This window comes from Homo sapiens, chromosome 17, assembly GCF_000001405.40.
Source record: "Homo sapiens chromosome 17, GRCh38.p14 Primary Assembly".
In the NCBI taxonomy this organism is placed as follows: Eukaryota; Metazoa; Chordata; class Mammalia; order Primates; family Hominidae; genus Homo; species Homo sapiens.
In genome coordinates this window covers 73,246,083-73,268,480 of record NC_000017.11, presented here as the reverse complement: position 1 = coordinate 73,268,480, position 22,398 = coordinate 73,246,083, and the positions used below count along the sequence as shown (strand labels likewise).

The following is a 22,398-nucleotide window of genomic DNA, read 5'->3' as shown; positions in this document are numbered from 1 at the left end:
GGCCTCAGGGGTCTGGGTGGTCTTCCCAGCCCAGGGGAGGTGGAGCCGTCTCCCACGCTTAGCTTGGTAGGCTGGAAGGAGCTGGCTTTGGGGCCAAGCAGACCTGAGCTTGTGGTCTTTAGGAAGCACATCTAAGCCTTTAGCCTCAGCTTTTTTCAGTTGTAGAAGAGAAAGAATAATAGCTCTCTTTGCAAGGTTTTGTGGGAATTAGAGAGAATACAACGTAAACAGTGAACCTAAACCAATTAAGTCCTAGTAACTGGTAGCAAAGGTTGGATTCTAGGCCCCCATTCCCACATCTACTGGCTATATAAGCTTAGGCAGTGGTTTCACTTCTGGGCCTTGATTTCCTTACCTATAAAACGGGTAGAGCAGCTTGGAAGTTTACCTTGAGAATGGGAGGAGCCTTGAATGAGAAGTGTGGGTGGTTTATTAGTCCTGTGGCTATTTCCAAGCCCCAAGGGGAAGTAGATGTCTTTCCCTGGGTGCAGGTGTCAGAACTGACGGACTCCTAGAGACTGAGTTCCTGCACAATGACAGAGCAGGACCATCCTGGCTGCAGGGCCTCCCTGCCCTGCACTTCAAGTGGCCACTGTGAAGCCAACAGCTGTCCCCTCCAAGTGGCATTCTTGGGGCACAAAGGGCGGTGGAGAGAGCAGGGAACACTGGCTCATTGTCCCTGGGACTGAGCAGCAGCAGCGGCGGGTGAGGGGCACCCCTCCTGACCTCCAGCCCCTCCCAACCCCGTGGCTATTCGGCTGCCAGGCCATCACTGCCGGATCTTACAGTAGCCCCCAGCAGCACCTGAAGCATCATGGGACCCCTTCCCCCATGGCATCTTTTACCAGGGGCCCTTAGGAATAATGCATTTTAAGAAGGGATAGGTCCAAGCGCAGTGGCTCATGCCTTTAATCCCAGCACTTTGGGAGGCCGAGGTGGGCGGATCACTTGAGGTCAGGAGTTCGAGACCGGCCTGGCCAACATGGTGAAACCCTGTCTCTACTAAAAATAAAAAAAGTAGCCAGGCATGGTGGCAGGCGCCTGTAATCCCAGCTACTTAGGAGGCTGAAGCAGGAGAATCGCTTGAACCTGGGAGGCGGAGGTTGCAGTGAGCTGAGATTTCGCCACTGTACTCCAGCCTGGGGGACAGAGCAAGACTCTGTCTCAAAAATAAAACAACAACAACAAAAACCACTCCTGTGACAGGCAACCACGTGTACTTTCACTGATCCTCAGTCCTCCAGGGACATGGTGTGCATTGGTCCCATTTTACTAATGCAGAATCTGGGGTTCAGAGAGGCGATTAAATGCCTGACCCAGGATGTAGACTGGTAGCTGACAAAGGCTGGATTTGAACCCTGACCTGCCTGACGCCCCTGTCTGCACTGTCGCCATAAAGGCAGGGCGCTCCGTGGAGAGGAAGGCAGGTACTCCAGATAAAAGAAAGGTGGTCATGGCCACGATCTGTCCAGCAAAGCACTGGCTGCCGTTGATCCCAGGCCGGGGGCATGGGCATGAATGACCTTGCCAGGCCCTGCAGCCAGAGAATTCCAAAGCTCCCCCCACCTCCACCCCCGCTTTTCAGAGCAGAGCATTAATAAAGGGGAAGGAGCTGGATGATGACGATTCAGAAATTTGCAGCCCGAGCTAAATGAGAGCCTCATAATGATGGTGATTAAAAATTCACACTTCTGTTTGTACAGCGATTTGAGTGTCCACTTAGCACCATGAATCAATTAATAAACGGAAACACAAGGGCTAGGGATAAGCTCCAGGGCACAGAAGAGGGGGCTGTGAGGTTTCAGAGGGGACATCCCAGGGCTGGGGCACTGCTTTTTGTTGTTGTACGATGGGGACACTCGTTGGCTTCAAGAGCCATGAGGTGGGGCAGCTCCCCCGGCCTCAGCAAAGCTTAACAATCACTCAACTTCTCTGGGTGTCTGTTTGCTCATCTGTAAAAGGGGTGAGGTCGGCCAGGCACAGTGGCTCACACCTGTAAACTCAGCACTTTGGGAGGCCAAGGCGGGCAGATCACCTGCGGTCGGGAGTTCGAGACCAGCCTTATCATCATAGAGAAACCCCGTTTCTACTAAAAATACAAAATTAGCTAGTCGTGGTGGCGCATGCCTGTAATCCCAGCTGCTCGAGGGGCTGAGGCAGGAGAATCGTTTGAACCTGGGAGGCGGAGGTTGCGGTGAGCCAAGATCGCGCCATTGCACTCCAGCCTGGGCAACAAGAGCAAAACTCAGCCAAAAAAAAAAAAAAAAAAAAAAAGGTGGGATCTTCCCAAACCAAATTTCTTTCTTTCTTTCTGTTGGGACAGAGTCTTACTTTGTCACCCAGGCTGGAGTGCAGTGGTGCAATCATGGCTCACTATAGCCTTGACCTCCCGGGCTCGAGGGACCCTCTTGCTTCAGCCTCCTGAGTAGCAGCTGGGACTACAGGCATGCGCCACCATGATTAGCTAATTTTTAAATTTTTTGTAGAGATGGAATCTCACCATGTTGCCCAGACTGGTCTCGAACTCCTGGGCTCCAGTGATCTTCCTGCCTTGGCCTCCCAAAGGGTTAGGATTACAGGCATGAGCCACCGCGCCCAGCCTTGAATCTGAATGCCAAGTGAGAAGGTCTATTCATTTCCTAGAGCTGCTGTCACAAATTACCACAAAGGTGGCTGAATACAATAGGAATTCATTCTCTCACATTCTGGATGCTGGAAGCCTGAGGTCAAGATATAGGCAGGGTTGGTTCCTTCTGGAGGCTCTGAGGGAGAGTCTGTCCCACATCTCTCTCCTGGCTTCTGGTGCAGATGGCAATCTTTGGCCATCCACGGAAGCTGGGTCACCCCAGTCTCCACCTCTGTCTCCCCATGGCCTTCTCTGTGTCCCCTCTGTGCCTGTGTCTCAATTATCCCTCTCCTTTCTCTCATAATCACACCAGTTACTCGGTTTAGGAATCATCCTAATTCCAGGATGTCCCATCTTGAGATCCTTACCCGAATGACACCTGCAAAGACCCTGCTTCTAAAGAAGTTCATGTTCACAGGTACCAGGGGTTAAGACTTTGATTTTTTTTATTTTTTATTTTTATTATTTTTATTTTTATTTTTTTTTTTTGAGATGGAGTCTAGCTCTGTTGCTCAGGCTGGAGTGCAGTGGTGCAATCTTGGCTCTCTGCAACCTCCGCCTCCTGGGTTCAAGCGATTCTCCTGACTTAGCCTCCCAAGTAGATGGGACCACAGGTGCTTGCCACCATGCCCTGCTAATTTTTGTTTGTTTGTTTGTTTGTTTGTTTGTTTGTTTTTGAGACAGAGTTTCGCTCTTGTTGCCCAGGCTGGAGTGCAATGGCGCGATCTCGGCTCACCACAACCTTTACCTCCTGGGTTCCAGCGATTCTCCTGCCTCAGCCTCCCAAGTAGCTGGGATTACAGGTGTGCGCCACCACGCCTGGCTAATTTTGTATTTTTAGTAGAGACGGGGTTTCTCCATGTTGATCAGACTGGTCTCGAACTCCCAACCTCAGATGATCCGCCCACCTCGGCTTCCCGAAGTGCTGGGATTACAGGCGTGAGCCACCGCGCCCAGCCAATTTTTTGTATTTTTAATAGAGACGGGGTTTCACCATGTTGGCCAGGCTGCTCTTGAACTCCTGACCTCAGTTGATCCACCCACCTTGGACTCCCAAAGTGCTGGGATTACAGACGTGAGTGAGCCAACATGCCTGGCCTTTTTTTTTTTTTTCCTTTGAAGAAAGGGTCTTGCTCTGTCACCCAGGCTGGAGTGCAGTGGTGCAATCATGGCTTACTGCAGCCTCAACCTCCTGGACTCAAGCAATCCTCCTGCCTCAGCCTCCCAAGTAGCTGGAACTACAGACATGTGCCACCATGCCCACCTAATAATTTTTTAATTTTTTGTAGAGATGGGAGTCCTGCTTTGTTGCCCAGGCTGGTCTTGCACTCCTGGGCTCAGGTGATCCTCCTGCCTTGGCCTCTGAAAATGCTGGGATTACAGGCGTGAGCCACTGCACCTGGCCTAGACCTAGACTTTTTGGGTAGCCAGTTCAATTTACTGCAGAAGGTATTTTGAATAAGCAAAAACTATGAATGCAAGCCCCGTTGTTTGTGTGCCAAACTAATGATGAGCCACTGGGAGAAGGGATTTCATCCATGTGACACCCACCACACACCTCTGCTGGCCAGGCACCTAGAAGTGGGATGGGAAGCCCCTGGTGGAGGAGCAGAGAAGCTGGGGTGCTGGAGGGAGGAGTCTTAACCAGGAGTCTCCTTCATGTTCATCCCTCATCAATTAACTCTTGCAGGCCACCAGAGTAGCAGAAAGATCTCTGGGCTATATCCCCAGGGCTCTCATGATTTTAAAAAATCATCCCCAGGCTGGGCACGGTGGCTCATGCCTGTAATCCTAGCACTTTGGGAGGATGAGGCAGGCAGATCACCTGAGGTCAGGAGTTCGAGACCAGCCTGGCCAATATGGCGAAACCCTGTCTCTACTAAAAGTACAAAAATTAGCCAGGTGTGGTGGTGTGGGCCTGTAATCTCAGCTACTCAGGAGGCTGAGGCAGGAGAATTGCTTGAACCTGGGAGGCAGAGGTTGCAGTGAGCCGAGATCGCGCCACTGCACTCCAGCCTGGTCAATAGAGCAAGACTCAGTCTCAAAAAAAAAAAAAAAAAAAAAATTCATCCTCTAAGCAGCCCCTGTCCAGTCTTCCCCCGACCATCCCTCAGAGAGCCATGTACAGTTCTCAGAGCCCTGTGGTGGCTCTGCTGCCTTCACGATCACTTCCCCCCAAAGCTGGCCCCAGCAGGCCCCCCAGAGTTGGGTCCCTTCTCAGCTCTTAAGCCTCATTGCCCCCATTCCACCTCTTTACCCCCGCTTCTGCCAAACCAAACCCTTGAGCGCCTCCTCAGCCTTCACATTGCTCCATGCCCCAACCTTCATACTGCTGGCCTTCTTCCAGAACATTCTCTCCCCATCATCATGACTCTCCATTGAGAGAGCTCTGCCTGCTACCCCTTCCTGCCCTGCTGGGCCCCTCATGCCTCCATCGCATTATTGTGTGAATGGCTAATGTCCCCTCCTTGATGGGGCCATCTCTGAGGATAGGGACGTGGCCCTAGTGCAGAGATGCTCAGGGATGTTTAGGGAAGGAAGTCATCAAGAGACCTAGATGTGAACCCCATCCATAGCGCCTCCCAAACCATGTGGTCTTGGCCTCCCTGGGCTTTGATTCCCTCATCAGTCCTGCCTGCGCTGCCAGGCTTCTGTGAGCCTTTAATGAGCCTGTGTTGACAGATGAATGCATTCTTGGGACTACTAATCAACGCATACAACTAAGGCCAAGAGAAGCCAGGGTTTCTACCCCAGGGACCCCCTTGGCCCCACCCTCTAGCCCTGGAGCTGGGTCCCTCTGCCTCTCCCAGGATGCAGTCAGAGGCCTGAGCTTCTGGAAACTCTTGGATCTCGTCCCTGCTCCTCCCAGTCCCACCTCGGCTCCAGGTGTCTATCTCTCCAGCTATTTTCTTTTCTGATCTGGAGTTCAAAAGAACAGATCTAGGAGCAACAGCCACGGGGAACAACAGCCAGCAGGCTAGTTCATGTTGGCCCAGCTGAGAGCCTGCGGGGCTGCCCACCTCTCCCTGCTGGGTTTGGGCACCCAGAAAGGAGGGCGTATGGGTTCTGGTTCTATGGGCATTAAAAGCCAATGTGACTGAGAACAGCAGCTCTAGTTAGAGGCAAGGCCAGTTTGGGGCCAGAGCAGGGGGAGGGGGAACCTGGTCTAATTAGAGCCCTAACATGCTCCTTTGAAAGCATTGTCAGATGTCCCCAGCCCTGCAGGCAGGGGTGGTGTAATAATAATAAAACAACATTTGCATAGAGATTTCATTTATAAAGCACTTTCTCAGGGGTGGGGTGGCACTGGGTGGCCCTGTGGAATCCTGGCTGGGAGGCCGCCCTGGCCTTGGTCGGTTCCGCCCTCCCGCCAAGCTGGCGATTGTGTGCGAGGTAAACAAAGCGCCATTCATCCAACTGTTTCAGTTCCTCTCCTCTTCATTCCTTTTTCCCTGTCTCCCACGAAGAGCTCACTCGGGGCTTGTCACTCAGGCCAGAAAAGGGGTGTCAGGGGCCCCAGAGGGAGACCCCTTCCCTCATGGGAAGAAGCGGGGAGGTGGGACGGCTCCCTCCCTCTGCAAACCCCCACCACCCCCAGCTCTGGCAGAATAACAGCCTTGCTGCGGTTGGTTTGTGCAACTCTTTGCTAACCTGTGGCTGTGTCTTCATGGACAAAGTATGAGCCCAGGTTTGGTAATGTCTGTGTGCACGCCACGTTTGTGTTCGGTAACATGCAAAGATAAGCAGTTTGTGGGGCTCTGCGAATCCCTCCCTATCCGAGTGAGCCTTGTGTACACAGTGTGGGGGTGAGGGGCCCTGGGGTGTCTGCCCCTGCACTGGGTGGGCCGGGTGAGGCAGCTGGGCCCTGCTCCTGTACAGCCCAGGCTGGAGCGTCCCCTGCAGTCACCTGGCCACTGGCACCCTGGGGTGAAGGGGGAGGCATTGGGCGCTGGCCCCTTAAGGGCCTCTGATGAGCTATATTGGGCCCACCTGCCTGGGTTCCAGCAGCTTCCGCAGCCCCAGCAGGAGACGGAAGATGCAAGAGGTCATTGCGGGGCTAGAGCGGTTCACCTTTGCCTTCGAGAAGGATGTCGAGATGCAGAAGGGCACTGGGCTCCTGCCTTTCCAGGGCATGGACAGTGAGTGAGGGTGGGGCCACTTTCCCTCCCCTACCTTCTCTGTTTTTTTTTCTTTGAGACGGAGTCTCGCTCTGTAGCCCAGGCTGGAGTGTAGTGGCACAATCTCGGCTCATTGCAAGCTCTGCCTCCTGGGTTCACGCCATTCTCCTGCCTCAGCCTCCCGAGGAGCTGGGACTACAGGCGCCCGCCACCACGCCCAGCTGATTTTTTGTATTTTTAGTAGAGACCGGGTTTCACCATGTTAGCCAGGATGGTCTCAATCTCCTGACCTCGTGATCCGCCCGCCTTGGCCTCCCAAAGTGCTGGGATTACAGGCATGAGCCACCACGCCCAGCCTCCCTCCCCCTTCCTTCTCTACAGGCCTCTCTGCTCAACTCCCTGATGCGACCGCCCCTTCTCTGTCTCTCTCTTCTGTGGCTTCGGGGCAACCCATTTTCCAGACTGAGAAAGAGAGGCACAGAGAGACGGTGAATTGAGAGAAGCCACACTGGCCTCCCGAGCTCCTGGGCCAGGCTTGAGCCCCTCGAGCTCCTCTGTTTCAGAGTTGGGGGGTTAAGGGTTGAGGTCTGCTGGCTGGCTCTGCAGGTTAACCTCTACAGGGCCCAGATTTGGGATCCCATAGGCCAGAGCCTGGGGGAGGTCTAGGTGGGACATGCCGATGGAGGTGGAGGCTTCCGGAACAGCTGCAGCCTCTGGGGAAGCTACCTTCTCCGTTCCCTCTTCTCCTTCCAGAGTCGGCCTCAGCTGTGTGCAACTTCTTCACTAAAGGGCTCTGTGAGAAAGGTGAGTTAGCAGACAGGCCTGGGCCCCAAGCTGGGTGAGTGTAGGGTCTGTCTGAGCTACACCCAGCAGGGGCTCTGCCTGGCCTGGGATAGGGTGTCGAATTTGCACCTGGGGAGGGAAAATTGGGATGGAACGGAATTTTATTTTTATTTTATTTATTTATTTTTAGATGGAATCTCGCTCTGTTGCCCAGGCTAGAGTGATCTGGCGTGATCTCAACTCACTGCAACCTCTGCCTCCTGGGTTCAAGCGATTCTCCTTCCTCAGCCTCCCGAGTAACTGGAACTACAGGTGCATGCCACCAAGCCCGGCTAATTTTTGCATTTTTAGTAGAGATGGAGTTTTGTCATGTTGGCCAGGCGGGTCTCAAACTCCTCACCTCAGGTGATCCACCTGCCTGGGCCTCCCAAAGTGCTGGGATTACAGGCGTGAGCCACCATGCCCGGCCATGGAGCAGAATTTTAGACTTACAGGTAGACAAAGGATAAGTGGTTGGATCCACCGAGCAGCCTGCCCCTCCCCTAAGATTTTCCCGCCTCAGCAGCAGTCTTCATAGTTTGCAGTTCGCATCAGGGTAACCAGGCTGCCTGGAAAGGGGTATTTTTTTCTTTCTGCCTTGCTGGGATGGGCGTGTGTCTGAGCTTTGGCCTGTGCATTCCCAGGAGGCTCCAGCTTCTTAATGTTTTTCTTGATTTCCTCCCAGCTAGAAGAGAGGCATCCTTCTCCCCCAGTCCCCTGCTCTGACTCAGTTTGTAAACTGGTCAATTGTCTCATCCATTCCCTATGCCCTGAGGTAGCACCTGCCACCATCTTTGAAATGCTATCAAAAAGCATCCTCCACTTCTCTCCTGCCCTGACTTTGGGTCAATACTGTCTTCCTAGGCCCCTCTCCCCAAATGCAGCCATTCTGGGAAGGCCTGATTCAAATATAAGAGTTTTCAACTTTTCTTCTGGCTCATGGCTCATGTAGAGGCTCTTTCAACAGAAATATACAATTGCCAAAAAAAACTGGCTTCCAGTTTTAGGGTTTCCCTGTCTTCCTCCCGCTTGCCTATACATTTAGGTTAAGAAATCTCACTGGTGTGAGAGTTTAGGACATGTTTTCTGATCCAAATGAGTCTGTCCCTGGAAGCTGGGGGGCTGGAGGGGACCAGGAAAGGAGGACCTGGGGCCATGTTCGCCCACCTGCCTTGTTTGTCTTGGGGCCAGCCCTAGACCATACAGGGAGAAGGGAAATGGGATCACTGGTCGCCCAAGGCCTTGTGCACCCAGGACCCTGCAGGCTCAATGTGGACTGAGTGGCATCTCCTCAGCTCAGCCCAACCAGTCCCTAGAGCAGTGGTTCCTAGCAACACCCTTCTGCAAAGAAAGAAAGCTATTATGGTGGAAGGTCAGAACCAAGCAAGTCAATAGCCAGGGGTGGAGGTTAGGGGTATTTAAAAAGAGCACCTTGGCCGGGGGAGTAGGCTCACACTTGTAATTCCAGCACTTTGAGAGGCAGAGGCTGGAGAATCGCTCAAGACCAGCCTGGGCAACATAGCGAGACCCCATCTCTACAAAACATAATTTTTTTTTTTTAAAAAAGGAAAAATGGAAAGAACACCTCCCCTAGCCCCCAAATTATGTCAGAGAACTGGCCAGGCATGAGGCTGGACCTGCTTAGAAACTCAGGAACTGCCAGCCTGGATGACATGGCAAAGCCCTGTCTCTACAAAAAATAAAAAAATTAGCTCAGTGTGGTGGTGCATGCCTGTAGTCCCAGCTACTCGGGAGGCTGAGATGGGAGAACTCCTGAGTCTAGGAGGTTGAGGCTACAGTAAGCCATGACTTTGCCATTGCACTCCAGCCTGGGCAACAGACTAAGATCCTGTCTCAAATAAATAAATAAATTAAAGAAACTTAGGAACTGGGTGTCCTTCCTGCTAATAGCAAGGCAGACTTGAGTGAAGATGATAAAGCAGTTAAATGTAACATTTCCATGGAATATTCCTTATAAATCATTACAAAGTTGGCTCTTCTGTCACCCTGTTAGGTCTCTGGAATCGGGAAGCATAACATTTGATGTTTTTAAAGATGGGAATTCAACACACCCTTACTGAGCACTTACTATGTGCCAGGGGCTGGGCTGGGTGTGGGGATTCTGGGCTGGAAAGCCTGGCCCCGCTCCCTGGCAGGACGAGAGGGGGTGTTAGGCACTCTGGGAATGAAAAGGAGGCAGCTGTTCTGAGCCCAGGTACTTCCCTGGAGAAGGGCATGGCACTCCAGGCAGATGGGAAGGATGGGCAAAGGTGTGGTAGTGGGAACAGCTGTGCTTTAAGAAGAGCTTGCCCTGGCCAGTCACGGTGGCTCAAGCCTGTAATCCCAGCACTTTGGGAGGCTGAGGCGGATGGATCACCTGAGATCAGGAGTTCGAGACCAGCCTGGCCAACATGGTGAAACCCCGTCTCTACTAAAAATAAAAAAAATAGCCGGGTGTAGTTGCAGGTGTAATCCCAGCTACTTGGGAGGCTGAGGCAGGAGGATCACTTGAACCTGGGAGGTGGAGGTTGCAGTGAGCTGAGACCGTGCCATTGCTCTCTAGCATGGGCAACAGAGCGAGACGCCATCTCAAAAACAAGAGCTTGGCTGGGCGCGGTGGCTCACGCCTGTAATCCCAGCACTTTGGGAGGCCGAGGTGGGCAGATCACAAGGTCAGGAGATCGAGACCATCCTGGCTAACACGGTGAAACCCTGTCTCTACTAAAAAATACAAAAAATTAGCAGGGCGTGGTGGCTGGCGCCTGTAGTCCCAGCTACTCAGGAAATGGAGGCAGGAGAATGGCGTGAACCCAGGAGGCGGAGCTTGCAGTGAGCCAAGATCGCGCCGCTGCACTCCAACCTGGGCGACAGAGCGAGATTCTGTCTCAAAAAAAAAAAAAAAGCTCTCCCTTCATGCTGCCTCGGCTCCCAGTTCCAGCCCCTACAGGGTCCAGGTGAAGGGATAAGGGGACAGCCGCTGGGGACTGAGTCAGGTACCCTCCTGGGGAATCCCCTGGAGGGCTGAGCTGGGCCCAGGCTGTGGATGAGGGGCCTCCCAGCCAGGTGCTCTGGCATCTCCAGGGAAACTCTGCCCCTTCCGACATGACCGAGGGGAGAAGATGGTGGTATGCAAGCACTGGCTCCGGGGGCTCTGCAAGAAGGGTGATCACTGCAAGTTCCTGCACCAGTATGACCTCACCAGGATGCCTGAGTGCTACTTCTACTCCAAGTTTGGTAAGGCCTCTTCCTGGCTCGGTGCCTCACCCTGGAGGGTGGCAGTGTGGGCTGTGAGATGGGAAGGTTTCTAGAGGAGCGGGCACGCAGAGGAGGCTGGACATGTCCCTGGAGGCCAGAGAGACCTGTCTGAGTCTCAGGTGTCTGTTCTCCAAACCCCTAGACAAGCAGAAGTGCACCCTGAAGTCCCTGCCCTTTACTGCCCCCTGGATCAAGGTGCATACCAGATACCCCCAAAAGGGAAGAAGGGATTGTTTCTCTCCCCATTCTTGGTTCATCACACACCCAGCCTGACTATATTGAAATGTCTCAAATGAGCCATCTCTCAGGCCCCGGCTAGAACTTCTCGAATATCAGGCCTTCAGAGCCACATTCACGATGCCTGCTGTACCCTCAAAGCCCCAGCACCACTGTCTGCTCTTCCAACGGTCTTGCTATTTTAACTCTTACTTTAGAAGAAACTTTGCATTGTTTCCATAAACGGAGAACTAGCATCACTTGTTGGAAATCAAAGGTCATTGTAAACATAAATCCATGAGGTTCAGAGGTCTAGCACCTAAAGTCATCTTGTGCGGTCAAGCCTGGACCAGCATCTTACCTCCCTCTGGCTTCAAGGCATCCTTTGTCCTTTTATTTATTTTTATATATTTTTTTGAGACAGCGTCTTGCTCTGTCCCCCAGGCTGGAGTGCAGTGGCGTGATCTTGACTCACTGCAATCTCCACCTCCCGGGTTCAAGCCATTCTCCTGCCTCAGCCTCCTGAGTAGCTGGGATTACAGGTACCCACCAACATGCCCGGCTAATTTTTATATTTTTAGTAGAGACGGGGTTTTGCCACGTTGGCCAGGCTGGTCTTGAACTCCTGACCTCAGGTGATCCACCTGCCTTGGCCTCCCTAAGTGCTGGGATTATTGGTGTGAGCTGCGGTGCCCGGCCTCCTTTGTCCTTTTAATCAAGGGACTGTTTATGGGGCAGCTGCAGCCACTTTCCCGCTTACTTAAGAAAGGAATTTGTAAATGTGCTTCAGGTCTCACCCTTCACAATACGATTCTACAGCTCAGAGCTTTTCGGAGCTGGAAGGAGCCTTACGGATTATCTAGTCCAGTGGTTTTCCAACTGTATTCCATAAAGAGTGACCTACAAAGAGAGAGCTGGCAGAATCCCCTGGATGCCCCTGACTCAGGAGGCTTGGCTTCCAAATGTGGCTGCAGCCAGCTTCAGGGCCCCCCAAGCGGCTGCTCCTCATTAGTGCCAATGGGAGGGTCCTGGGTACCTGAGAAGGAGGCAAAGCATTGCCTAGGCCAGTCAGAGCCCCACCCAGGCTAATATTCCATTTCCTGCCTGCTCCTGGGAGGCAAAGGCATGGCAGTTCCTGAGAGCTGCCCCCATGTCTCCCCTGAAAGGACAATGTTTATCCAAGTTCCCCTTGGTCACTGCCTAGCATTCTGTGACTTTAGTAATAAAATGCCACCTACTTAGTTATTCCCTCAATAGCCCTCGGTGTTTGTTTGGGGATCAGGTGCTCCTGGGCATGGATACAGGAACAGGACCAGGTCCCCCTCCGCCCCCAGATAACTCCAATTAGTAGAGGACAGACTTGTAAGCCCATGATTACAAGATGTAATCTACTGTTCTTACAGTAAATGAATGCATATGGCTTTCGAATATCAAAGTGATGATCACTCTAATTGGAATCAGAGTGTTGTTGGGGAGGTGTAGGAGTGGGACAGAGTCACTGGAAGGGACTGGTGTCCGGGGTCTTCAGCCCAGTACCCCCGTCTCTGAAAGGCGGATTGAAGGCTGAGGTGCTGCTGCCACCTGCTGGCCAGGCCAGGAATGCAGAGACGTGCACGCAGCAGAACGGCAACCAGTGTAGATGACTTTCTGTTATCTCCATCCATCAAATGCTGGCCAGCATCACCTAGGGGGTGATGTCACTTTGATTCATTAGAAAGCTCAAGCCCAGAGTCAGCACTCTGCCCAGTGCTGTATACTGACAATGAACAAATGAACCCTTCATGAACGTGAGGAAGCTGAATGAAATGGATGTGGCCTTTTCCCCTCTCTGAGCCCTGGCGTTCTCTGTGAAATGAGAGGGCTGGGAAAGAATGGTGGTTTTAAACTCTTAGGAATCAGGGGTACTCTCCTTTTTTTTTTTTTTTTTTCTTTTTTTGGAGACAGAGTCTCGCACTGTTGCCCAGGCTGGAATGGAATGGCACAATCTCGACTCACTGCAACCTCTGCCTCCCAGGTTCAAGCGATTCTCCCACCACAGCCTCCTGAATAACTGGGACTACAGGCACGTGCCACCATACCTGGCTAATTTTTGTATTTTTAGTAGAGATGGGGTTTCACCATGTTGGCCAGTCTGGTCTCAAACTCCTGACCTCAGGTGATCCTAAGGATCACCACCTCGGCTTCACAAAGTGCTGGGATTACAGGCATGAGCCACTGTGCCTGGCCTAGGGGTACTTTCCTTTAGGCGAAACCTTGCTCTGTAGAGGCCCAGTGTATAAAATAGATCTTCCTGGAGCAATTTGAAAATCAGTGGAATAGACGCTACGACGCTCCTTCAGCTCTGAAAAGCACTGAGCTGTAGACATTTAAGGAGGATGAAGTTGGAAAGATTCATGAGTTCTCAACTTGAATGAAGTGAAAGTGGGATGAATCTTCCCCCATGCTTCCTTCAGAGCTTTCTTCCTAAGAGAAATCTAAGAGAGCTCTTAAAATGACACCTGGGTCCGGGCGTGGTGGCTCACACCTGTAATCCCAGCACTTTGGGAAGCCAAGGTGGGCGGATCACGAGGTCAGGAGTTCAAGACCAGCCTGGCCAACATGGTGAAACCCCATCTCTACTAAAATACAAAAAATTAGCCATGCGTGGTGGCACATGCCTGTAATCCCAGCTACTTGGGAGGTTGAAGCAGGAGAATTGCTTGAACCCGGGAGGCGGAGGTTGCAGTGAGCTAAGATTGCGCCATTGCACTCCAGCCTGGGCAACAGAGTAAAACCCTGTCTCAAAATAATAATAATAATAATGACACTTGGGTAGCCTGGGCCTACTGGGCTGGCTCCCTGTAGGAAATAAACTAAACCTGAGACTTGGTCTAATCCATAGAGAGATGATGACGCAGGCTTAGTATAATGCAGGTGCCCACTCTGTAGAATGTTTCTTTTCATACCTGTGCCACCTTGAGCAGGGCTCTGCTTTTCTTTGCATTTCCACCAAGGGGAACAGCTTCCCTAGGCTCTGCAGGCAGCATGGGTTTTGTAGTAGAGATGAAGAGGGGGCTGCAGTTACAGCGACATGGAAATATCTCCACTTAACGTCGCAGGCCTTCTCGGCTCTCCTTGTTCCTGCTAGCCTCTAATGGCCTTCAGTTCCAGTGCCTCCTTCTCCATCTGGGGTCCCTCACTCTTACTCTTCCAGAGGTGTATATTCAGACCATGCCCTGCTTAGCAAATAGGACTGGGATCCACCCTTTTTAGACTGCAGCAAGGATTAGGCATACTTTCCATCTTCAAAAAGCTGGTGACTCCCAGAATAAAGGCCAGTGTCTTCTGTGTTTGTGAGGGGCAAGGTCAATCTGGTTTGGGGACACAGAAGTGATCACAAAGAGAAACTGCTTCTACAGAGAGTGCTGGGATTTTCAGGTGACTGCAGCAACAAGGAGTGTTCCTTCCTCCATGTGAAGCCAGCTTTCAAGTCCCAGGACTGTCCTTGGTATGACCAAGGTTTCTGCAAGGACGGTGAGGCCTTGGAAGCCAGGGAGCCCTAGGGGCTGTGGGGATCAGGGTGGGAGCTCTCAGCAGGGGAGGGGCCATTTTCCTGATGAGGCTGTGCCTTGGAGAAACCCCAAATAGAAGGCCTTTCTGTAGTTCTCCTCCAGCTCTGCTGTGACACACAAAACACAGCCTGGTGTGGGGCCATAACAGGCTTGAGGCAGACTGACTTGGGTTCAAATCCTACCTTCAGCATGTATCAGCTGCATGCCTTTCTCCAAGTTACTGAACCACACAGGAAGCTCTTGACACAGGGTCAGGCCCATAGGAGACGCTTAGTTCATGTGTGCTCTCTTCCGCATTCCACTTACCCACCTGGGGGGTCCTGAGTGTTGCTTAAGCATGTCCTACCTTTCCCATTGCTGCCAGCCAAATTTAAGAGGCAGCTTACCCCAGCAGGGTTCCCATGCCCTAAGCAACAGGGTTTCTCCCTCTCCTTTGTCTTCAGATAGGTTTTTCTTACGGAGTTCTTAGTGCTGTTGGTTTTAGGGATCTGGGCGGGGGTGAGGGCTGCTGAGAAGATCAGTAGGATTGTGGGGTTAGCTTTTTTCTTTCTATCACCCAGGTTGGAGTGCAGTGGTGCGATCTTGGCTCACTGCAACCTCCACCTCCCAGGTTCAAGCAATTCTCCTGCCTCGGCCTCCCAAGTAGCTGGGGTTACAGGTGTGTGCCACCATGCCCAGCTAATTTTTGTATTTTTAGTAGAGACAGGGTCTCACCATGTGGCCCAGGCTGGTCTCGAACTCCTGGGCTGAAGTGATCCACCCACCTTGGCCTCCCAAATGCTGGGATTACAGGTGTGAGCCACCCCACCCGGCCAGGTCAGCTTTTTCTCAGCTGTACCTCCCATACTTAAATAAATAAAAGGCAACAAAGTGTGGTTCATATCCATGCAGTCCTCCAGGACACAGCATGTCAGTGACATTTCCAACTCTATTTCAGAACTTGCCAGCTGACACCTGCTCCAGCACATTCCAAGGTTCCTTTTCCCCATCCCTGTCTCATGGCTAGAAGTGGATGCTTTAGGGTGGTACAGAAAGGATGGGAAGATTTATCCACCCCTATTAAGTGAAGCCCCTATGACCATCCACACCCTTCCTAGGGAGCTTTTTCATGTGTGTTTTCCCCTCTTGCTGAAGCGGATCCTTCTCATCACTTTCTCTTTGCTCAGCAGGTCCTCTGTGTAAATACCGCCATGTCCCCAGAATAATGTGTCTCAACTATTTAGTTGGCTTCTGCCCCGAGGGACCCAAGTGCCAATTTGCTCAGTAAGTATGATCCCTCAGTTACCAACTCCCACCAGAGTGCTAGGCCTGGCCTTCTAGTTCTAGATCTTTCCATACCTTCGCTGGTCCTTAGTGGAAAATGAAGCATCTGGCAAGCATCCGCTCCAGTATTTTCCTGGCACCACTGCCTGACCCTGGCAATCTCAGAACTCTAACCCATCCTCTTAATGTGTATTCATGCTGGGGATAGGTGTCGATCTTTTCACAAACTGTTCTAGTAATAAGAGAAGAAACACTTAATGCCCATTTCTCCCCAGTCCTCTGTAATTCTCCCTCACGCCCTGGCTAAGGGAGGGCAACTTCCCTACAGGGTTCTGAAATATGAAATCTGCAGCAGGCTGGCGCAGAGCATGTTAATGAGCAGAAGATGGGAGGGCGAGAGCTGGGCTGTAATCGTCTCTCTCTCCACTTCCCTTAGTCCCAAGATGAATCTTTTACTCAACCCGAGTTACATGAAGGTGAGTGCAGGCAGGCACGTGCCGTCATCCCTCATCCCTTTATTCCCACTCCTTTCTGCTCCCCAGGGAAGCTCACCCAGCAGCACTGCATGGTTCCCAGCGAACCCTCACTCTCCTTTGAAAGGCATGTCATCATGCATGTGGGACACATATATGTGGTTGTTCCTCCCAGACTACTCTCCAACCTCTAGAATCTCTGCTGTGGGTAGGGTAGGACTTCTCTGTTGACCAGTCCAAGGCTTTCCTTCTGCTAGCTGGGTAGCACGCATGGTTTTTGGAATCAGGGCTGGCCCTGATTGAGAACTGTGCTCAGTCCCTATGGAGAGACACACACACTCTATAGACCCAAGTGTTGATGAGCACCTATGTCAGGGGTTGGTAAACTACAGCCTGTGGGCCAAGTCCAGCCTGCTGCCTGTCTTTGTACAGGCGAGGGGCTAAGAATGGTTTGTAAAAAGTGGGAGGAAAATCAAAATATTTTGTGACATGTGAAATTAATTCCAGTGCTCATAAAGGGTTTTGTTGGGACATGGCCATGGCTGTTCTGGTGCTTACAATGGCAGAGTCCAGTGGCTGCAACAGAGACCCAGTAGCCTGCAGAGTATAAAATATGCACTGTTTGGTGTTCTATAGAAAAAGCTTGCTGACCCCTGGTCTAGATGACTGAATGTTGGACACCTGTTTAAGTATCACAGAGGCCAGACAGCGCCAACACTGGGGCAGCTACTGACGGCTACTGGGGCCTCCGAGCACTGGATGCTGGGAGGGTGATGGCCTGGGAGGAAGACAGTCCCTGCTGGTTCTGAGCAGGCTTTGAAAGAAGGTGGGAGGCGATCTGTGGGACTGCGGGGAATTTACAAGCCCATTTACAATGAAAGCCTAACTTTGATGGAAAGGTATGCTTTTGGCACTTAAAACTGTAACTAAAGGCATCTTGAACCCTGGTTTCACCCTAAATGCATGGCCAGCGTCCCGGCCCTCTGTGAAGTTGGTGTCTGCACACAGGGACTATCTGCAGTAGGTGTTTTCTCACGACTGCACTTCAGCTGTAGCTTGCCAGCCGGCCCCGGGATTCAGCACCTCCTATTTCTGCTGTGGAAGCTTGGAAACCCCCATCCCCAACAGAGTGCCTGCTCTCCTGCCTGGGGATCAGGGGTCAAGGGCAGGGCCTGTGCCACAGGGTGGACAAAGGAACCCACAGGGCTGGGCTAGTGCTTGGCTGAGAGCTGGGAGGGCAAGGAATGATCAGGGAGCTGGAGAATGACTCCTTTTCTGCAGCAGATAGGAGTGTGAATTAGGGGAGAATGAGAGGATACTGTAAACCATCCTGTTGGCATCTCCTGCTAGACAAGACTGTTCCTGCAAAAGGAACAGTCATTTCCCACTTTGTTGCCTACTACTATTCAGTTACTTGTACATAACGTCCTTAAAATTCTTCTTTGGCAGGAGGGCAGAGTATGGTTAAGGGAGGGAACGTATCACCTGGTTCCTTTTTCTGGTATCTTCTGGTTTATCAGAAAGAAAAAAAATCATGTTTGATCATATCTTCATTCTCATAGCTTCTAAACTGTCCTGAGCTTTGCAGTCTCCATTCTGCAAGAGAATAGTTTTATTGGGATGACAGGTAAGAGTGGCAGAACCCTTGACTTTTCTTGTACAGTTGCTTTTATGTGCCAGCCTCGTTCTCTGGGATTGTGATGCTGGGCTTGAATGCCTGAAATAAGCTTCACCAACAAGCAGAATCCATCCAATTCCTCACAAAGGTAGCTAACCATCTCCTATGGTTCCCTAGACATCTTTAGAAATCTGAATTTACAAAAAGTCATGCCATTCACTTTTTCTGTTTTTGTGTCAAAGACCAGGCCATTATGCCAGTAAGTACAGTAAGACTCAACTGATAGGAGTTATTAAAAACTAACCTATGGTCAGGAGAAGATGCTCAATGGTCTTACTATGGGATTCTGTTTCCCAAGTTCCACAGTAAGCCTGCTGTCATCCTAAGCAGGGTATGAGTGAGGTGCAGAAGTAGCCTGTGGCAGGCAGGTTTATTTCTTTTGATCCTGTAAGTGAACGAGCTACTAAAAATACAACAGGTTTGGAGGCAGATTGGCAGGAACGAGTTATCCATAAAACGGGAGCAAAATGTACATAAAACCAAAAGCTCGAGTCTATGGGAAATCCACGATCATTATACTTTGCTCAGCTCCTACCAACAGGTCTGGGTTGCACGTGGCAGCTCCTCTGTATATGGCTTCAGCTGCCGCTATCAACTGGCAATTAACTCAAATGGCTTTCTTTAGCATGACAGCTGCTTCCCTGTATGGCTTATTTAAATCTAAGAATATACTCTGTACCTTATGTGTGGAGTATTATGGGGCAGTAGATGGAATAAAATAGGCTTATCCTGGGGAGGTAAGGTAGTAACACAAAAATTTAACGGTATTACCATCTTTTAATGCCATCATGAAAGGCCAATACCAAGCAACTTAATCCACTGGGAAAGGGGGGGTAGTGGCTGTGCTGAGCCTTTTGGAATAATGGAGAAGAGCAATGGGATGTGTGAGGAAGAACTGGCCCCCCACCTTGGTAAAAAGACAGGTGCCTGGCCTGCCTGGAGCTGGAGTCCCCAGTCAGGGCAGTCTAAAAGAATGGAGCCCAGGAGTCGGGTTTTGGGGGGTTGAATGCCAGTTCAAACCAATGGGGGCTGCTATGTGATGAACAGCACAGAGCTACGTAGGCAAATCACTCTACCTCAAGCCCGTTTTCTTTTTGGAAAATGAGCAGGATAGCACCTACGCCACAGGACTGTTTGAAACTAAAAGGAGAAAACACATGTAAAAAACCTTGCATGGCACTCGGCACAAAGCAAGCCCCAGATGTTGGCTGGATCTGCCTGTGGATTGCAGTAGGGCCTCTCTTCCTCCGTTCAAGGTTGGAATTTATATATAGTATGATGGCACATACTACAGGCTTTAGAACAGCTGCTGTCAATGAGTTCCTACCATCACAGACGTTGCTGGAATTAACACATGTAAGACTTCTAATCTCACCAAATGTCTGCAAAGTAGGAATAATTATCCCTAAATTACAGTACAAAGGAGGCTCCAGTAAACTGGGTAACTTACCCAGGGACACACCCACCCATTTCACAGGTGAGGCTCTAGAAGAGGCATATAATCAGCTCAGGGGAGTACTTTTTATATTTTACAAATAATTTTATTATGAAGAGTGGCGGAAGTAGTATGTAGATGCCCCATAAAGTATAAAAGAGTCTGCTGATAATAAAATGATTTTATTTTTAACAGCTAAAATAAATTTTAATGTGCATTAGAAAAACTACACATTCCCAAGTAAACTCAGTCTTTCAGATATTATTCAGGATTAAACAAGGCCGCCCCGAGGTTAATCCACTTACACAGACCACGTGTGAGTTACAGCCGGGGTATTCAGGCATGTCCGTGAATATTCCCAACTTGTAGTAACAGAACCTTCAAATACGTCCTCTCAAGCATGGACAGTAGCCTGGGTGTCACCATGCCTCTTCTGCGGGATGGATGGGAAGGTGAATATGGATTACGTGTATGGATTCTCACGCTGCATTTGTATGCACCTTGCAGGAAGATTCGGGAATTCAAGCTGCTGCCTGGAAGCAAGATCTAAGCGTTGCTTCTTACCTAGCGGGGCACTCCAATGCCACAGACAGGGCAGAACACGACTTTTACCCCCTCCTTCTGCAGCATGATTTTAAGAGACAAAACTTATAAGGCTGTTTAAAATGGTAAATCATGTTAGAGACGTTCTTTTTCTTTCCTTGGCTCTGTGAAGAGATGAGTAGTTACCCCGCCTCACACCTGAAGCGTACTGGCTTCTGTGGGTAGCAGTCTTACTTGTCTACTATTCGTTCTGAGGAGTCTTGTCTTTCTGGATGAAGCTTTTAATCTGGTGATCACATACATGATTGGAACTGGCTGTGCAAATGAACTGATAGGAATTTTGCATACATGAGCGAAAAATGTATCCTCACGAGGCAACTTTACATCAGTATTGCACCCTGGAGCTGTGAAGTGTGCTTCCTCGTCATGCTGAGTTTGTTTAGATCTAAATCTCAGAAAATAATCAGCTATCAGTTTACCTCAACAACGCTCTTAAACTATTCTGAACATTAAGAAGAGATTCTTGAAGGACTTGAGAAAACATCTTCAATTATTTTCCCAACCCAGGTGGCAGCAATGAGCAGACAAGGAAGCCTTTCCTTCCATTACTCTGTAGACATTTACAAGTCATCCCAGAATGTGGAGATGTTTCCAATGGCTTCTTGAAAGTTATCCACACTACTGTATTGTGGATTCTCAGTATCTAATTCAAAGAAGTCAGTGGAGACTTTTTGTTGTTTCCTACTATATGTGAGTTAGAATTCTTGGTACTTACCAATGTCAAACAAAAAAGCTGTCTTCTTATTAATACAGGATCTCACCTTTGCCTTAAACTTGGCAATACAAGGCAGATATCCTTTTAGGACTCATGGATCATTAAATAGTTCTATTCTCATTAAATAACTTATTTTCAGGGATATAAAATATTTACTGTGACTAAGTTAAACCTTTTCATTATGTTTCAGCACCCTGATTATGACAAGTGATACTACTTTATTTATAGCAGTGATACAAATGCTCCTGATAACCTTGAGGGCTGAAAAGCTATCCCTTAATGCTACCACTACACTTAGGTGTTACAGGGCAATTCAGTGGGCAACACAGGGCACGAAGGCACTAGAGAGAAGTCACGAAGGCTTCTCCTACTTAAACGTGCTTCCTAATCCAAACATGTTTTAGAGCGGCAATCCCCAGTCGTCTTCGCCACACCAATGCATGGAGGTACTGTGCTCTTCCAGGGCAGGGGTCGGCACAATTTTTCTGTAAAGGCCAGATAGTAAATATTTTCAGCTTTTCAGGGCATATGGTTTCTGTCGCAACTACTCGACTTTGCTGTTGTTGTGTGAAACAGCCATGGATGCCACCTAACCAAATGAGCAGGGCTTGTTTTTGTACATTTTGACTACATACAAAAACAAGGCAGTGGGCTGGCTTTGGTCCGTGGGTCACAGTGGGGTCTGCTGCCCCTGCTCGAGGGAACTGGGGGACCGGGAAAGAGGGTATTACTGAAGGTCATTCTCATCTACCTTCTCACCTTGAGAGTTTCTGGTCTTGAGTAAGGACACATGGGGAGGTGTGGAGAGAATCCTTAAGCATCTCTCCTAAAGAGCATTCACAGAGAATGGGCACAAAGCTCTTTCGGCAGGGAAGATTGTTCTGGGTTCCAATGAAGTTCTTAGTAATATTAAACTAAAATAACTGAATGTAGAACTCTTCCCCTCAACCACAACTTTTTTCCTTACAGAGAATTCTAGGATACAGGGATATATTGCTGAATACCTTAACTATGAGAATTTGTTGCAGAATTAAATTACTCCCACTAGGGATGGAAAGGAGCAGGGGATTGGGAATAGAAAAGGTAGGTAAAAAGTAGCCCCAGCATTCCAGCTTTGAGAAGAGAGAGAAACGACATACAAGTCAACACATGCTGGCTGTGGCTTTCCTGTAGGTTTTTTGGGATTTTTGAGACAAGGTTTCACTTCCATCACCCAGGCTGGAATGCAATGGCACAATCTCAGCTCACTGCAGCCTCCGCCTCCTGGGCTCAAGTGATTCTCCTGCCTCAACCTCCTGAGTAGCTGGGACTACAGGCGTGTGCCACTGAGCTCAGCTACTTTTTACAATTTTTTTTTTGTAGAGATGGATTTCACCACATTGCACAGGCTGATCCTGAACTCCTGACTTCATGATCCGCCCGCCTTGGCCTACCAAAGTGCTGGGATTACAGGCGTGAGCCACCGCACCCAGCATTCCTGTAGTTTTAAAAGAGCTGGGACATAAGAGGAACTGACCTCATGTATTTTGGCATGAGGACACCACAAGCAAAGCTGAGACAGACGGGTGTGTGCGTGTGATATATAACTAACCCTCTACGTTAGAAAGGAGGTTGGGGAAACACTTATCCATCAACGTTGCCTA

At 50.2% G+C, this 22,398-nt stretch overlaps 2 protein-coding genes across 11 annotated transcripts in view, besides 1 other annotated feature; one reads left to right on the top strand and one right to left on the bottom strand.

The window, feature by feature from the left end:
• The first annotated feature begins 4,702 nt into the window (after nt 1-4,702).
• CPSF4L (cleavage and polyadenylation specific factor 4 like) overlaps nt 4,703-22,398 on the top strand; it is a 21,678-nt gene continuing 3,982 nt past the window's right edge. Inside the window, exons 1-6 of one of the 2 annotated variants that reach the window (NM_001129885.1) lie at nt 6,601-6,765; nt 7,498-7,548; nt 10,648-10,800; nt 14,455-14,550; nt 15,758-15,851; nt 19,945-20,032. In NM_001129885.1, coding sequence (NP_001123357.1) covers nt 6,663-6,765; nt 7,498-7,548; nt 10,648-10,800; nt 14,455-14,550; nt 15,758-15,851; nt 19,945-19,987 — 540 coding nt within the window. In that variant the 5' untranslated portion in view covers nt 6,601-6,662 and the 3' untranslated portion in view covers nt 19,988-20,032. Of the gene's footprint in view, nt 6,766-7,497; nt 7,549-10,647; nt 10,801-14,454; nt 14,551-15,757; nt 15,852-19,944; nt 20,033-22,398 lie in introns of those variants that run through there. The other variant, XM_011525115.3, reaches the window with a different exon arrangement.
• Nucleotides 12,781-12,910: an enhancer, noted in NCBI's record as "active region_12692". NCBI's record gives its function as "activates an Ori minimal core promoter by ATAC-STARR-seq in GM12878 lymphoblastoid cells {active_cell/tissue: GM12878}" and the evidence as "EXISTENCE:reporter gene assay evidence [ECO:0000049][PMID:35858748]".
• The window catches only part of MTNAP1 (mitochondrial nucleoid associated protein 1), a 16,527-nt gene continuing 13,650 nt past the window's right edge, over nt 19,522-22,398 (bottom strand). For all 9 annotated transcript variants that reach the window (NR_110105.2, XM_011524961.2, NM_001351264.2 and 6 more), the window contains one exon: nt 19,522-21,240. Coding sequence is in view for 8 of the 9 variants with exons in the window: in XM_011524961.2 (XP_011523263.1) it covers nt 21,140-21,240 (101 nt within the window). In the remaining variant the exon portion in view is untranslated. The remainder of the gene's footprint in view (nt 21,241-22,398) is intronic.